The sequence below is a fragment of the Homo sapiens genome, chromosome 8, assembly GCF_000001405.40.
Source record: "Homo sapiens chromosome 8, GRCh38.p14 Primary Assembly".
NCBI lineage: Eukaryota > Metazoa > Chordata > Mammalia > Primates > Hominidae > Homo > Homo sapiens.
In genome coordinates this window covers 62168546-62185376 of record NC_000008.11, presented here as the reverse complement: position 1 = coordinate 62185376, position 16831 = coordinate 62168546, and positions in this window count along the sequence as shown.

Sequence of the window (16831 nt, the reverse complement as noted above, 5' to 3'; positions counted from 1 at the left end):
CCCAGCCGTTGTGTTCAGACAACCGAATCTAATGTTTGAGGAGCACAGTTTAATGGTGAGGTCAGGTTCCTTTTTCAATTATTGATATTCTTTCTGAAAACATGAAATGGCTTGACAGTTGGGGCAAGAAAGGAGATACACTATGAGGGAATCTTTGAACTCAGGTGAGAGGAAGGAAGCTGAGGAGGGACTATGCCCAAGACTCAGCCTCACATTTTTTTTTCTTTTCAGTCTTTTAGAAAACCTAACACAATGCTGGATTTAGAGGGGATGCTCATTAAATTCAATTTAATTGACACCAACACAGAAGAAAGGCAGTTCTACAACCAATATAGAATATTATTCCTTAAAAAAGTCAAAAAGGTATAAGATTCAGGGACCTCACAAAGATGTTTAAGTTTTGAAAAGATTGCAATGCTTCAGGAAGCATGAAGTGGGACCCTTATGTCAAGGGGAAACAAGTGTCTTGTGGAAAACGGTAGCTGATAGCATGACAAGACTATCTCGTCTGAAACTGGAACAGTACAGTGCAGTAAATATGTTCATTTACTGCACTCATAACTTACAAGTTTCTTTCATGTAAAAGGATTAAGAGTAGATATTAAGAGAAAACAAAACACTGCATGTTCTCTCTTATAAGTGGGAGCTGAACAATGAGAACACATGGACACAGGGAGGAGAACAACACAAGCTGGGCCACGGTGGGAGGGAGAGCATCAGGATAAATAGTTAATGCATGCGGGGCTTAATTCCTAGGTGATGGGTTGATAGGTGCAGCAAACCACCATGGCATATGTTTACCTATGTAACAAACCTGAAGATCCTGCACATGTATCCCAGAGTGTAAAATTAAATTAAATTAAATTTTTAAAAAGAGTCATTTCAATGACTGATATAAATTCTACCACCTCCAAATGAGTAAAGGCACTGTAACTAGAGAACATATAAAGACCTTTTTCCTAAGTTCTTTGCTCAACTCTGTCTTTGTTGAATAAGCTTCTCTAGAAGTGTTTCCCAGTGGTCAGAACTTCATGATTCAATATTGACAAGGAAATCTTCAGTGCTCATTTTTGTCATTGAATCAAAAGGCTCAGAGGAAATTGCTCTAAAAGAGACCTAACAGAAAAATCTACCTGCTTTTCCAGAATCATCTGTTAGTTTATTAGGAAATACCCATATCCGTGCTGCTGGATTATTCAGTTGTAAAGGCTGTTACTGTTTTGATTTTTTTTATTATACTTTAAGTTTTAGGGTACATATGCACAACATGCAGGTTTGTTACATATGTATACATGTGCCATGTCGGTGTGCTGCACCCATTAACTCGTCATTTAACATTAGGTATATCTCCTAATGCTATCCCTCCCCCCTCCCCCCACCCCACAACAGGCCCTGGTGTGGGATGTTCCCCTTCCTGTGTCCATGTGTTCTCATGGTATTTTGTTTTTAAGTTTTCTTCCTAAATTTGTCCTTGTCCAGGAGGATATCAGTAATAGCACATAGGCAGTTTATTGAAGACAAGCTCCAAAAAAATTAACAGAATACTTTACTCTTGAAAACATACTTATTAGTCACCTATAATATATTATAAAATGTTACAAATGGATACACAAGTATTCCTTAATATAGTTGATATGAAATATTGATATTTTAACAATGGCAGAAAAATTCATTTTCTTAGAATATGTATTGCATATCCAGATTACAGAGATCATTCTTACTCATTCTTAATTTTACTGATGAGGAAATTGAAGCCTAGGTATAGAGAAGTACCCAAAGTCACAGAACAAGCTAGCTCCCATACCACTGTATGCAATACACTCACTCAATAATCAAATATGCAAACTTGTTTTTTTGACAAAATATACATCAAGAAATAATAGTTTTCATTTTTACATATCAGTAATGGCAAACAGCTTAGCTATAATATTTGCAAGGTTCACTATAAAGTGTAACTGAGCAACACTGCTCAATATCAACATAAAGGAAATATGTTGCAAATAATGGAAGAATTTTAAGGTGAATGTGTGGGTGGCTACTTTATTCAGTTCTTGATACTTTATAAAATTGTTCAAGTCAGAAAAACTCTAAGAACTAACTCCTGGAAGAGGCAGAAAACATAAATAAACCTAATAGAAGGGGTGTTTTATTTTTAAAAGCACATGTATTATCTTATTTAAAAGTTAACTGATAAAAATTTGAATTGGTTCTTTTTTTTTAGAGTTAGAGAAAAGTAGAAATTCCCTTGGGAAATTTCTTCTACTTTCCTCAAGGCTGAAGAATTTGGTTTTATATAGATTAATAATCCTAGGATTTTATCCTCAAAGAAATGCTTAATATCCTATTGGATTATGGTGTAATTCAAGTGATTTTTATGAAATGATGTCTTTTATTTGTTAAAGCACAGCAAAAAGGAACTTCATATAATTGTAGTTACCCCCTTCTCAATGTAGTTTCTATTCTCTCTGAGTTTATCATGAAGAAGAATTATGCTTTGAACAAAAGGAACATTACCATTGCCCATTGTCAGACCTCACCAAGGACAGGTCTGTATGTCTTTCCTTTATGCTTTTTCACATGAAGGTGACAGAAAGCAATGGCAAAATACATCAGATTATGACAATTGTGCAGAGGCTGCTATATGTCTTCAGTTCCTCGTGAAACATTCACAAAACTTCTCTAACCATTGCCTTGCATGTACTCATTAATCTTAAGTAAACTTTCTTTATAAAAATGTAGAAATATGCTGAAAGAGGCAAGATCTATCAACTTCTAGCTCATCAACCTAGGCTTAGTAACTCATTAGTTTGATTCTAAGATTTAAGTCGAAGGGCAAGTAAGAAATTTAGTGCATTATCCAGTCTCTCCTCACTATATTTTTGCATCCTCACCATCACTTCTCTGGTTCAGTGTCTCATCATGCCTAAGCTGATTTATTGCAGTGATCTTACAGTTGATTTACCTGCGTCCTGTGTCTTTCCTTCGGAATGGATTCTTCACACAGTCCAGATAGTGTTTCAGGCCCGCACTCAGCTCTGTCACTGCCCAGGGTTTCCAAGCCTTTTGAGTGTGTGTGGCATTCCCTTCCCCACATCCACTGCCATCCCATCTGGAGGGAACATCTCCCCTCCTCATTCTACTTTCATTATTCCTAGACTTCAAGTTTATCTGGTTTCGCTTCCTTTTCCTTTCCCATCATTTTATGATTCTGGGCTTTATGACATTTCCTATCCATGCTGTGTGATTGTGATTTGATGAGAATCCTTTACTGATAAAACTTGATGGTTTTCCAGTGGGTTCATGTTAATTCATCTTGCAGAAATATTCATGTGAATCTGTATTTCAGAATATTGGGACTTCTCATATCTCTTCTATCTTTAATGATATTTCTTTCACATTATTCCAATGAGACAATTTCTGATACTTTTAAGGGCTACATTTTATATGTTTTTAATCACTTCAAGTGTATAAAAGCCAATTTGACTATTCACAAAGTGACATCAGAGTAATTTTGAACACTGATAACATTTCCAGGCAAAATGAAGTACATTGTTTCATAAATTGACATTGATCTTCCTTTAAACCTTATTACTAATGTATAAATAAGATTATGACTATTTTCCATGTGTGTCTCCTCATATAACCTTAAGAGATTATAAAAGTGCAGAATTAGTCACATGGGCATGTTGCTTAGGACCTATATTTGGACATGGTCTGTCTGTAAATGATAAGAAAACATTATTTTTTGTATGTGTGGAGAAAACAATGGAATAATGTAAATCTATGAATAGTATTGGCTCCGTTATAGATTAAAAAAGGTGTACAGGTCAGGCACAGTGGCTCATGCCTGTAATCCCAGCACTTTGGGAGGCCAAGTTGTACAGATCACTTGAGGTCAGGAGTTCGAGACCAGCCTGACCAACATGGCAAAACTCTGTCTCTACTAAAAATACAAAAATTAGCCAGGCATAGTGGTGCATGCCTGTAATCCCAGCTACTTGGGAGGCTGAGGCAGGAGAATTGCTTGAACCCAGAAAGTGGAGGTTGCAGTGAGCCAAGGTTGTGCCACTACATGCCCTTCACCCTGGGCGACAGAGCTAGACTCTGTCTCAAAAAAAAAAAAGTGTACAAAACTGAATCTGGGCAGAAACTGTTTTTTTCATCCCTTTTGCCATTTCATCTAATCAATCAAAATTTAAACCTACATAGGCAGTTTCACTAAACAACATAGAATTTGTTGACTACCCACTCTGCCTCAGAGCACACACCAAGCTGGGTAGTATCTGTACACAAGCCTTTATCAAAACCTTTGGGAGCATATGTGCTTCTGAATGCAATTTTTTTCAAATTTTAGGAAAGTAAAACAGTGCATGCATCTTCTATTACAAAATACCCCCCAGGGGGGACCCTGAGCAGTATCCTATAATCAAACACATTAATGTGTCAGCAGTGAAAATCATGACTATTCACTTAGGAATAATAAAGTTTATAAATGGTCTCAAGTCAAAATAAACCAGTTTTGCAGCCAGAGAAGTTATAGAGACAATTTTTGTTTTCTTCAAGTCTTTAGATTTCAGAATTGCAGATAAAGGCTTGAGGAACTGTGATGTTTAATGAAAAATAAAACAGTCTCTGCTCTTAAGGAACTCACAAAGTCTTGATACTTAACTGATTCATCCTGGTAGAGCCATACTGGTGTTAAAATATTAAAATATTGTTTTCCAATGAGAAAGTGGTCATTATGCCAAGCCATCCAAAAACTCCCTCTCCACTCCTCCCTTCCCCCAGCCTATTTATTCCCTGGAGCCCTGGCACCTTTCCTGCGCCCTCCCCATGACCCAAAGGATGGATGCTTGGCTCCACAGCCAGCCTCTGTGGTGATTGGTGGGTGCTTGTGCTATACCACGCGTTCAAAATTTAAATGTACCTTCTAAAAGCACAGGATAGTGAATTTCCTCCAAAAGCCAGAGGATTTTGACAGGATGAGGAGAAGTTGGGGGAACTAAGGAGTCTTACTTCTTTATTTTTAAATTCAGAGTTAAAATCAGATTAGAGGTTTCAGTAAGCAGAAAGCCAATGAAATTATCTGTCATCCATTAATAACCCTAAGTCTCTACTGCTGGTAGAGGGACAATCAGTCCCCGGGAGCGCTAGCAGGGCAGAGCGGACCTGGGGAGGGGCCTCTGTTGTCATTTCTCATCAATGGCTTTTATGATTGTATTTATTATGCTTACCTCGGATGTAAACAAATTCCTCATGTTTTTCTTGATACATTTTTTTTCAATAGATGTTAATTTTCATCATGTCATTATGAAGAGACCATGACTTCAGGGAAGATCTATTGTGGAGAACTTCTCCTCTACATTTTTGAAACAATCGCACCGAACAAATTCCAACCTCACTGAAACTTAGATTTTATTTTTCATGAGCACAAGCATTCCCTTTTGGGCGCTGCAGCGGGCAGGGAAGTGGTCATGGGCGAGGCTGTGCTACTGCGTGCGCACGCGCAGGGTCGTGCTTAGGCGAGGCTGGGTCCTCCGAGCAGGTTAGGTCAGATAAGGGAATCCCAGGGGTAGCTTCCGGGTCCTCTTTATAGAAGCTATGGCCTCTTTGCAATCTTCCAGTAACAATAGAAGATGGAGACCAGGCCAGAAGACCTGGAAGATTTCATTATTCAGAGGCAACTCTTGGAGCCCTTCTGAGACCATAGGAACAATCCAGCCTAGTCCCGGAGATGATGAGAGACCCTTGGAGCCTGAAGTAGCCACCCCAGGTGAGGCCCCCTTGAGCAACCAACCCTGAGCTGATCTGGAAGCCAACTAGATAGAGGCACATGAATGAGCATATGCCAGGCCAGCCAAAGAACCACCCAGCGAAGTTACAGAATTGTGAGCTATTAATAAATAAATTTTAGGTGTTTTAAAACGCTAAGTTTTGAGGTGATTTATTAGGCAGGAAAAGGTGATACACAGGCAAAAGGTGAAAAAGTTGTTATGAAAGGCTTCAAAGGAGAGCAGCTTATCACCTGGTGGTTCTTTTAATACATAAGGAAAACAACGGGCTGTGATATTGAAATATTGCCTAAGCTTTAAACAAACACACTTTTCCACCATCAATACTTAACCAAGAAGCCCAGCACACTTACTGAATTCTGAGCATAGCCACCCTGGCAGGGACCCCACTGAAGAATCCACACCTGATACTGCCACTGCACAGTCATACTGGGCAGCACTCACTGTGGGCATCATGGCCAGCACAGATTTTTGTCTCCAGGATTAGGGGATCAGGTACATGCCTGACAATGGAGAATTCTTCTTACTCCTGTCCCACAGCCATGACAATAAGAATAAAAATGCAGTAGCTATCTCACACCTAACTGTATTCATAATGTTCACGGCAACCGTGTTTATATTCTTTAAGCCTGACATGGTACAATTTTATTCTCTTTTATCAGTGGTGATTTGCTAGTTGTAATTTACTATTTTCTCCTTGTGTGATACTGCTCATATCAGATATTAAAGGTACTACTACTAAAAAAAAATTATATTTCTTGATTAAGAAAACTAAAACTTTAAATATCTGGTTCAAAAGGACTCAAGATTCCTCTTTTGTTTTCTTTTTTCACTGAATTTGATCAGCTCTGATGACTGTACCTATAAATGGGATACACTATTTTGTCTCCACCCTGTCTGGTGGGCCAGATGTCAGCTCAGTGACCTAAGCATATACTAATTAGTATTTTTTTTTAAAAAAAAAAAACGTAAAATCTTATTTTGTTTTATTTTATATTAACTAATGTTTTAAATTGATGAAAACTGTATATATTTATTGTGTACAAGATGATACGTTGAAATATGTATATATTGTGAAATGGCTAAATCAAGACAATTAACATATGTGCTAATTAGGATTTTCACTGAAAAATGCTCCCACTCTTTTGTTTTGTTTTGTTTTTCTTATTTTTGAGACAGAGTCTTGCTGTGTCACCCAGGCTTGAGGGCAGCGGTGCGATCTCAGATCACTGCAACCTCAGTCTGTGTTCAAGCCATTCTTGTGCCTCAGCATCCCCAGCAGCTGGGATTACAGGCATGCGCCACCATGCCCAGCTAATGTTTTTGTAGTTTTAGTAGAGACAGGGTTTCACCATGTTGGCCAGGCTGGTCTCGAACAGCTGGCCTCAAGTGATCTGCCCGCCTGGGCCTTCCAAAGTGATGGGATTACAAGTGTAAGCCACCATGCCTTGCCAGAAAAATGCTCCCTATTCTAAATTAGCATGAGAGGCAGTGCAGGATAATAATCAAAAACATGGTTTCTGAAAAGCAAACAGAACGTGGATTCTGGAACATGATTGCCTTTTTTAAAAAATTTATTTATTTTTTTGTGGTAAAAAGCTTTATTGAGATAAAATTCACAAACAATTCACCTATATAAAGTGTACAGATTCAATAGATTTTGGTATATCCACAGAGTTGTGTAACCATCAGCACAATCAAATTCATAATATTTTTAACAGGTTTATTGACAGACTATTGACAACATTTTATGTATTTAAGGTGTACAATTTGATGTTTTGATATACATATACATTGTAAATTCCAGCTAATTAACATATTTATTGCCTCTACATATTTACCACTTATGTATGTATGGTGAGAAGACTTAATTTATCTTTTCAGGAAATTTCAAGTTTGCAATATACTGTTTTTAATTATCATTATCACAGTGTACATTAGATCTCCAGAAATTATTCATCTTGCATAAATGAAGATTCATATCCTTTGACCAACATTACCCCATATGTTCCTCCCTTCAGTCCCCTGCAAACAACCATTCTACTCTTTCTGCTTCTGTAAGTTTGACTATTTTAGATTCCACATGTATGTGACATCATGCAGTATTTCACTTTCTCTGTGTTACTTATTTTGCTTAGTGTAATGGCCTCCAGCTGCACCTATGGCGGAATTTTCTTCCTTTTGAAGGCTAAATAATATGCCAGATATCTTGGCTGTTGTGAATACTGCTACAATTAACATGGGAAAGATTCTGTTTTCAACTTATTTGGATGTATACCCAGTAGTAGGATTACTGGGTCATGTGATAGTTTTTGATTTTTTAAGGAACATGTATACTCTTTGCCATAATGGCTATATCAATTTACATTTCTACCAACAGTATACAAGGTTGCCTTTTCTCCACATCCTAACGCTTGATATCTTTTGTCTTTTGGGTAACAGACATTCTAACATGTTTGAGGTGATGTGTCAATTTTTGTTTGGTTTGTATTTCCCTAATGTTTAGAGATTTTGAGTAACTTTTCATGTACTTTTTGACCATCTGAATATATTCTTTTGAAAAGTGTTTAAGTCTTTTTGACTATTTTTTAATTGAGTTTTTCTTTTGGTACTGAATTGCATAAGTCCTTTATATATTTTGGGTATTAACTTCTTATCAGTTATATGGGTTGGAAATATTTTTCCCATTCTTAATATTGCCTTGTGGTTTTGTTGATTGTTCCCTTTGCTATGCAGGAGACTTTTAGTCTGATGTAATCTCATTTGCCTTTTTTTGCTTTTGTTGCCTGTGTTTTTCATGTAATATCCAGAAAGTTATTGCCAAGACCAATGCCAAGATGGTTTTTTTCATGTTTTCTTCCAGAAGTTTTAGTTTCAAGTATAAGACAAAAGTATTTTAAGCATTTTGAGTTGATTTTTGTGAAATATGTGGTGAAATAAGGGTCTAATTTCATTCTTCTGCATGCGTATATCCAGTTGTCCCAACACCATTTGTTAAAGAGATTGTCCTTTCCCCATTGTGTGTTCTTGACACCTGTGCCAAAGATCAGTTAACTGTAAATGTGTGGTTTTATTTCTTGGTCCTCTATTCTGTCCATTGGTCTATATGTCTTTATTGTGCCAGTAACATGATATTTTGATTACTATAGCTATGTAACACATTTTGAGAACAGATAGTGTGATGGCTCCAGCTTTGTTCAGCGATATGGTTTGTAGTTTTCTTTTCTTGTATTTCCTTTTCCTGGCTTTGGAATCAAGCCACACAAAATGAATTTGACGGTGTTTGTTTCTCTATCTTTTGGAAGGGTATAAAAGGGGTTGATATACATTCTTTGGAAGTTTGGTAGACTTTTCCCATGAAGCCACCTGATACTGTGCTATTCTTTGTTGAAGAGTTTTTGAGAGCAGATTTAATATTTTTGTTAATGGTTTGTGCAGGCTTTCTATTTCTTCTTGAATTAGTCTTGGTAAATTGTATGTTTCTAGGAATTTATCCAAGTCTTCCAGGTTATCCAATTTGCTGGCATATAATTGTTCATGATAATCCCCTGTGATCTTTTTTATTTCTGTGTTATGCATTGCAATGTTTACCCTTCAATTTTTGATTTTGTTTATTTGAGTGTTCTCCCTTTTTATCTTAGATAAGTGTTGCTCAATTTCATTTATCTTTAAAAAAAATTTTTGGTTTTTTTTTTTTCTGTTTGTTTTTCTACTCCCTACCTTGTGTACTTTTGCTATAGTCAGCATTATTTCCTTTTTTTTTTTGCTGACTTTGTGTTTATTTTAGTTCTTTCAGTTGTAAAATTGTATTGATTTATACAGATCTTTCTTTTTAAAAAAGTTGGTCTTCAGTGCTATAAACTCTTAATAATGTTTTCACAACATTCCATAAATTCTGATGATTTTATTTGCATTTTTGTTTGTATCAAGGTATTTTAAAAATATTCTCTTGATGTTCTCTTTTACTCAATGATTGTTCAAGAGAGTGTCATTTGGTTTCCATATATTTGCAAATTTTCTTGTTTGCTTTCTATTTTTGATCTATTGTTTTATTACGTTGTGCTCTGAGAAGACATTTGGTATTATTTTAATATTCTTATATTTGCTAAGACTTGTTTTGTCACCTGACATGTGATCTGTTCTGGAGAAGGTTTCATGTGAACTTGAGAAGAATATGCATTCTGCTGTTGGGTGGAAAGTTCTGCATTTTTCTGTTAAGTACATTTGGTCTATTGTTGCTCATGGCTGCTGTTTTCTTATTGATTTTCTGTCTGGATGTTCTATTCATTATTGAAAATAGGGACCGAGCATGGTGGCTCATGTCTGTAATACCAGCACTTTGGGAATAAATTCTGGACTTAAATTTGACATGGAGCAATTCGACATAATAGAAATCTACAGAATACTCCTTGCAACAACCATGGAATATACTTTCTTCTCATCTGCACATGAAACATACCATAAGATTGACTAAGATTGACCACATGCTCAGTCATAAATCAAGTCTCAATACATTCAAATATAAATTATACCAAGCATCTTCATGAACCACAGTGAAATAAAAATAGAAATCAATACAAAGAGGAACTCTCAAAACCACACAAGTTAATCGAAACTAAACAACTTACAGCTTACTTTTGGGTAAGCAACAAAACTAAGGCAGAAATCAAAACAATCTTTGAAGCAAATGAAAATAGAGAAAGAACAGACAAAAACCTCTGGGATACAGCAATAACACTGTTAAGAGGGAAGTTTATAGCACTAAATGCCTACATCAAGAAGATAGAAAGTTTGCAAATAAACAACCTAACCTCGCACATGAAGGAACTAGAAAAACAAAAGAAACTAAACCCAAAATTAACAAAAGAAAAGAAATAACTACAATCAGAGAAGAATGAAGTGAAATTTAGGCCCCCCAAAAAACAGGCAAAAGATCAATGAAATGAAAAGTTCTTTCATTTCATCAACAACATTGATAGACCACTAGGTAAGTTAACAGAGAGAAAAAATAAAGATCCAAATAAGCACAATCAGAAATGACAAGAGTTTATTTCTGATCCCACAGAAATGCAAAAGGTCCTCAGGGACTATTATGAACATCTCTATACACACAAACTAGAAAACCTAAAGGAAATGCATAAATTCCTGGAAAGAACTACTTTCAAAGATTGAACCAGGAAGAAACAGAAATATTGAACAGACTAATGATAAATAATGAAAATGAATCCATAAGAAAAACAAAAAACCCTACCAATCCAAAAAGTCCCTGGACTAGATGGATTCGTAGTCAAATTCTGCCAGACATATAAAAACGTCCTGATACCAATCATAATACATTTATTCCAAAAAATTGAGGAAAAGGGAGTCTTCCCTAACTCATTCCATGAAACTGGTATTATCCTGATACCAAAATCTGGCAAAAACACAACAAAAAAGTAAGCTACAGGCCAATATCCCTGTTGAACGTAGATGAAAAATCCTCCATAAAATACTAGCAAACCAAATCCCGCAGCACATCACAAAGCTAATTCACCATTATCAAGTAGGTTTTATTGCCAGGATAAAAGTGGGGTACAACATATACAAATCAATAAATGTGATTTACAACCATAAGCAAAATGAAAAAACCACATGATGATCTCAAAAGCCACAGGAAAAATTTTGATAAAATCCAGCATCCCTTCATGATAAAATCTCTCAATAAACTTGGTATTGAAGGAACACACCTCAAAATAATGAGGGGTATTTATAACAGACCAAGAGCCAACATTATACTGAACAAGTTATAAGCATTCTTTCTAAAACCTGGAACAAGACAAGGATGTCCACTCTCACCACTTCTATTCAACATAGTTCTTGCCAGAGCAATCAGGCAAGAGAAAGAAATGCAAAACATCCAAATAGAAAAAGTGGAAGTTAAATTATCTGTCTTCACTGATGATACAATTATATACCTAGAAAACCATAAAGATCCTGCCAAAAGACTTCTAGATCTGTTAAAATACTTCAGCCAAGTCTTAGGATATGAATTCAACATACAAAAGTCAGTAGCATTTCTATACTCCAATAATGTTCAAGCTGATAACCAAATCAAGAATGCAATCCATTTACAATAGCCACGCAGAAAAATAAAATCCTTAGGAATACATCTAACTAAGGAGGTGAGAGAATTCTATGAGGAAAACTACAAAACACTGCTAAAATAAATCATAGATGACGCAAATAAATGGAAAAGCATTTCGTGCTTATGGATTGGAATAATCAATATCAATTAAATGGCCAGGCTGTCCAAAACAATCTACAGATTTAATGCTATTCCTATCAAATTATCAATGTCATTTTTTACAGAATTAGAAAAATATTCTAAAATTCATATGGAACTAAAAAAGAGTCGTAATGGCCAAAACAATTCTAAGCAAAAAGTATAGTTTGAGGCATCACATCTCACCAAGCTCAAACTATACTACATGGTCACAGTAACTGAAATAGCAGGTACTAGTACAAAAATAAACATGTAGACCAATGGAACAGAATGGAGATCCCTGAAATAAAGCTGCACACCTATAACCGACTGATCTTTGACAAAGTCAACAAAAATAATGGGGAAGTGATACCCTGTTCAATAAATGGTACTGGGAAAACTGGCTATCCATATGCAGAAGAATGAAACTGTACACATACCTCTCACTGTGTACAAAAATTAACTGAAGATGGTTTAAAGACTTAAATGTAAGTTCTCAAACTATAAAAATCCTAGAAGAAAGCCTAGGAAATACTCTTCTAGACATTAATCTAGGAAAATGATTTATGAAGAAGGCTCAAAAAGCAAATGTAACAAATTAAAAGTAGACAAATGGGACTTAATTATACTGAAGAGTTTCTGCAAGCAAAAGAAACTGTCAACAAAGTAAACAGACATCCTACATAATGGGAGAAAGTATTTGCAAAGTATGCATTTGGCCAAGGTTTAATACCCACAATCTGTAAGGTACTTAAATCAACAAGAAAATACAACAAATAACACCATTAAAAAGTGGACAATGGACACGAACAGACACTTCTCAAAAAAAGACGTACGAGTGACCAACACATATATGAAAAGATGCTCTACATCACTAATCACCACAGAGGTGCAAATCAAAACCACAATGAGATACCATCTCATTCCAGTCGGAATGGCTATTATTAAAAAGTCAAAAAATAACTGATTTTGGCGAGGTTGTGAATAAAAGGGAATGCTTATACACTGTTGATAGGAATGCAAATTTGTTCAGCCACCATGGAAAGTAATGTGGAGATTTCTCAAAGAACTAAAAATAGAATTACCATCAATCCAGCAATCCCATTATTTGGTATCTACCCAAAGGAAAATAAATAGTTCTACCAAAAAGACACTTGCACTTGTATGTTTATTGCAGAACTGCTCACAACAGCAAAGACATGAAATCAACCCAGATGCTCACCAATGGTAGACTGGATAAAGAAAATGTGATACATCCACATTATGGAACACTATGCAGCCATGAAAAAAGAGTGAATCTATGTCCTTTGCAACAACATGGGTATGGCTGGAGGCCATTATCCTAAGTGAATTAACACAGAAACAAGAAGCCAATTACTTCATTTTCTCACTTATAAGTGAGAAAATTGAGTACACACAGACACAAAGATAGAGACAGTAGACACTAGGGATTCTTTAAGGGGAGAGGGAGGGATGAGCAAGAGTTTAAAAAATGCTTATCAGGTAATATGTTAGCCACTGGGGTGACAGGATGATTAGAAGCCCAAACTTTAGCATCATGCAATATACTCATGTAACAAACCTGCACTTATACCTCCTGAATCTACAATGTAAAAATATAAAATAAAATAATATCCAGTCAAGTACACTATGCCTTTTGATGGAAGAGTTTAGTTCATTTACATATAAAGTGATTATTGATGTCTCACTATTGCCATTTTATTAATTGTTTTCTGTCTCTTTTGCAGCTCTTTTGTTTCTCTTTTTGTCTCTTACTGTCTTCTATTATTTGATGATTTTTTTGTAGTGGTTTGAATTGATTACTTTCACTTCATCTTTTGTGTATCTGCTATAGGTTTTTCTTTGTGGGTTTAAGGCTTACATAAGCTTTCTTGTAGTTATAAACTTCTATTTCAGTTGATAACAACTTAAATTGTATTAAAAAAAACTCTGCATTCTTACCTGCCCCATTCACACTACATGTTCAAGTCAGAGATTACTCTGATTTCATTCATTGTGAATTATTTATCAAATTTATATTCTAAATTCATTATCAAATTTTAGTATAGTTATTTTTAATAATTTAACCAAACCTTTATCTTGCGTGTTGTAAGTATTTTAGACACCACCATTACAGTGTTTATTATTCTGTATTTGACTGTGTATTACTTTGCCTGTGAGATTTCTACCTTCATATGCTTTTACATTGCTTGAAGGCCTTCCTTAAGCATTTTTTGTAAGATAGGTTAAGTAGTGACAAAGTCCCTCTCTCTTGGAAAGAATTTGTCTCCCCTTCATTTTTAAAGAGCAGCTATTAAAAAATAGCTTTGCAGGGTATAATACTATTGTTTAGCAATCTTTTTCCTCCAATACTTTGAATATATCATTTCACACTTTCCTGGCCTGCAAGATTTCTGTTGAGAAATCTGCTGATAGTCTTGTGAATTTGCCTTGTATATGATAAGTCATTTTCTCTTGCTACTTTTGAAATTGTCTCCTTTTCTCAGACTTTTCATAGTTCAATTAAAATGGGTCTTGATATAAACCTTTGTATGCTCAACCTAGTTGAGGTTTTATGGACTTTTTGAGTCTGGATGTTTATTTCTCTCCTCAGATTTGGTAAATCTTCAGTTATTAATTTTTAATTTTTTTTATTTCAATAGGTTTTTGGGGAACAAGTGATATTTGGTTACATGAACAAGTTCTTTAGTGTTGATATCTGAGATTTTGGTGCACCAATTACTCGAGCAGTGTGCACTGTACCCGATATGTAGTCTTTTATCCCTCACTACCCCCAACCCTTTCCCCTGAGTCCCCAAAGTCAAATGTATCACTCTTATTTCTGCCTTTGCGTCCTCATAGCTTAGCTCCCACATATGAGTGAGAACACATGTTTGGTTTTCCATTCCTGAGTTACTTCACTTAGAATAATAGTCTCCAGTTCCATCTAGGTTGCTACAAATGCCATTATTTCATTCCTTTTTATGGCCGAATAGTAATCTATGGTATATATGTACCACATTTTCTTTAGGTACTCTTTGATTGATAGGCATTTGGGCTGGTTCCATAGTTTTGCAGTTGCAAATTGTGCTGCTATAAACATGTGTGTGTGCAAGTATTTTTTTCATATAATGACTTCTTTTTCTCTTGGTAGATACCTAGTAGTGGCATTGCTGGATCAAACAATAAATCTACTTTTAGTTCTTTAAAGAATCTTCACACTGTTTTCCATAGTGGTTGTACTAGTTTACATTCCCACCAAGGTGAAAGTGTTCCCCTTTCACCACATCCCTGCCAACATCTATTACTTTTTGATTTTTTTTGATTACTGCCATTCTTGCAGGAGTGAGGTGGTAACACATTGTGGGTTTGGAGTTGCAGTTCCCTGATAATTAGTGATGTCAAGCATTTTTCTATATGCTTGTTAGCCATTTGTATATCTTCTTTTGAGAACTGTCTATTCATGTCCTTAGCCCACTTTTTGATGGGATTGTTTGTTTCACTCTTGCTGATTTGTTTGAGTTCTTTGTAGATTCTGGATATTAGGCCTTTGTTGGATGTATATACTGTGAAGATTTTCTCCCACTCTGTAATATACCTGTTAACTCTGGTGATTATTTCTTTTGCTGTGCAGAAGCTTTCTAGTTTAATTAAGTTGTATCTATTTATCTTTTTTTGTTTTGTTGCATTTGCTTTTGGGTACTTGGTCATGAAGTCTTTGCCTAAGCCAATGTCTAGAGGGGTTTTTCTAATGTTATCTTCCAGAATCTTTATGGTTTTAGGCCTCAGATTTAAGTCTTTGATTCATTTTGAGTTGATTTTTTTAATAAGTTAAGAGATGAGGATCCAGTTTCATTCTTCTAGCTGTGGCTTGCCAATTATCCCAGCACCATTTGTCAAATAGGGTGTCCTTTTGCCACTTTATGTTTTTGTTTATTTTGTCAAAGATCAGTTGGCTGTAAGTATTTGGCTTTATTTGTGGGTTCTCTATTCTGTTCCGTTGGTCTATATGCCTGTTTTTATACTAGTATGATGCTGTTTTGGTGACTATGGCCTTGTAGGATAGCTTGAAGTTGGGTAATGTGATGCCCCCAGATTTGTTCTTTTTGCTTAGTCTTGCTTTGGCTATGCAAGCTCTTTTATGGTTCCATATGAAGTAGAGGATTGTTTTTCTAGTGTGAAGAATGATGATGGTATTTCGATGGGAACTGTATTGAATTTGTAGATTGTTTTTGGCAGCATGGTCATATACATGATATTGATTCTGACCATTCATGAGCATGGGATGTGTTTCCATTTGTTTGTGTCATCTGTGATTTCTTTCAGGACTGTTTTGTAGTTTTCCTTGTAGAGGTCTTTGACATCCTTCATTAGGTATATTCCTAAGTATTTTATTTTATTTTATTTTTTGCAGCTATAGTGAAAGGGGTTGAGTTCTTGATTTGATTCTCAGCTTGGTTGCTGCTGGTGTATAGCAGAGCTACTGATTTGTGTACCTAAATTTTGCATCTTGAAACTTTGCTGAATTCATTTACCAGTTTTAGGAGACTTTTGGATGAGTCTTTAGGGTATCTAGATATATGATCATATCATCAGCAAACAGGGACAGTTTGACTTTTTCTTTAGTGTGATTTAGATGCCCTTGATTTCTTTCTCTTTTCTGATTGCTCTGGCTAGGACTTCTAGTACTACATTGAATAGAAGTGGTGAAAGTGGGCATCCTTTCCTTGTTCCATTTCTCAGAGGGAATGCTTTCAACTTCTCATTCAGTATCATATTGGCTATAGGGTTGTTGTAG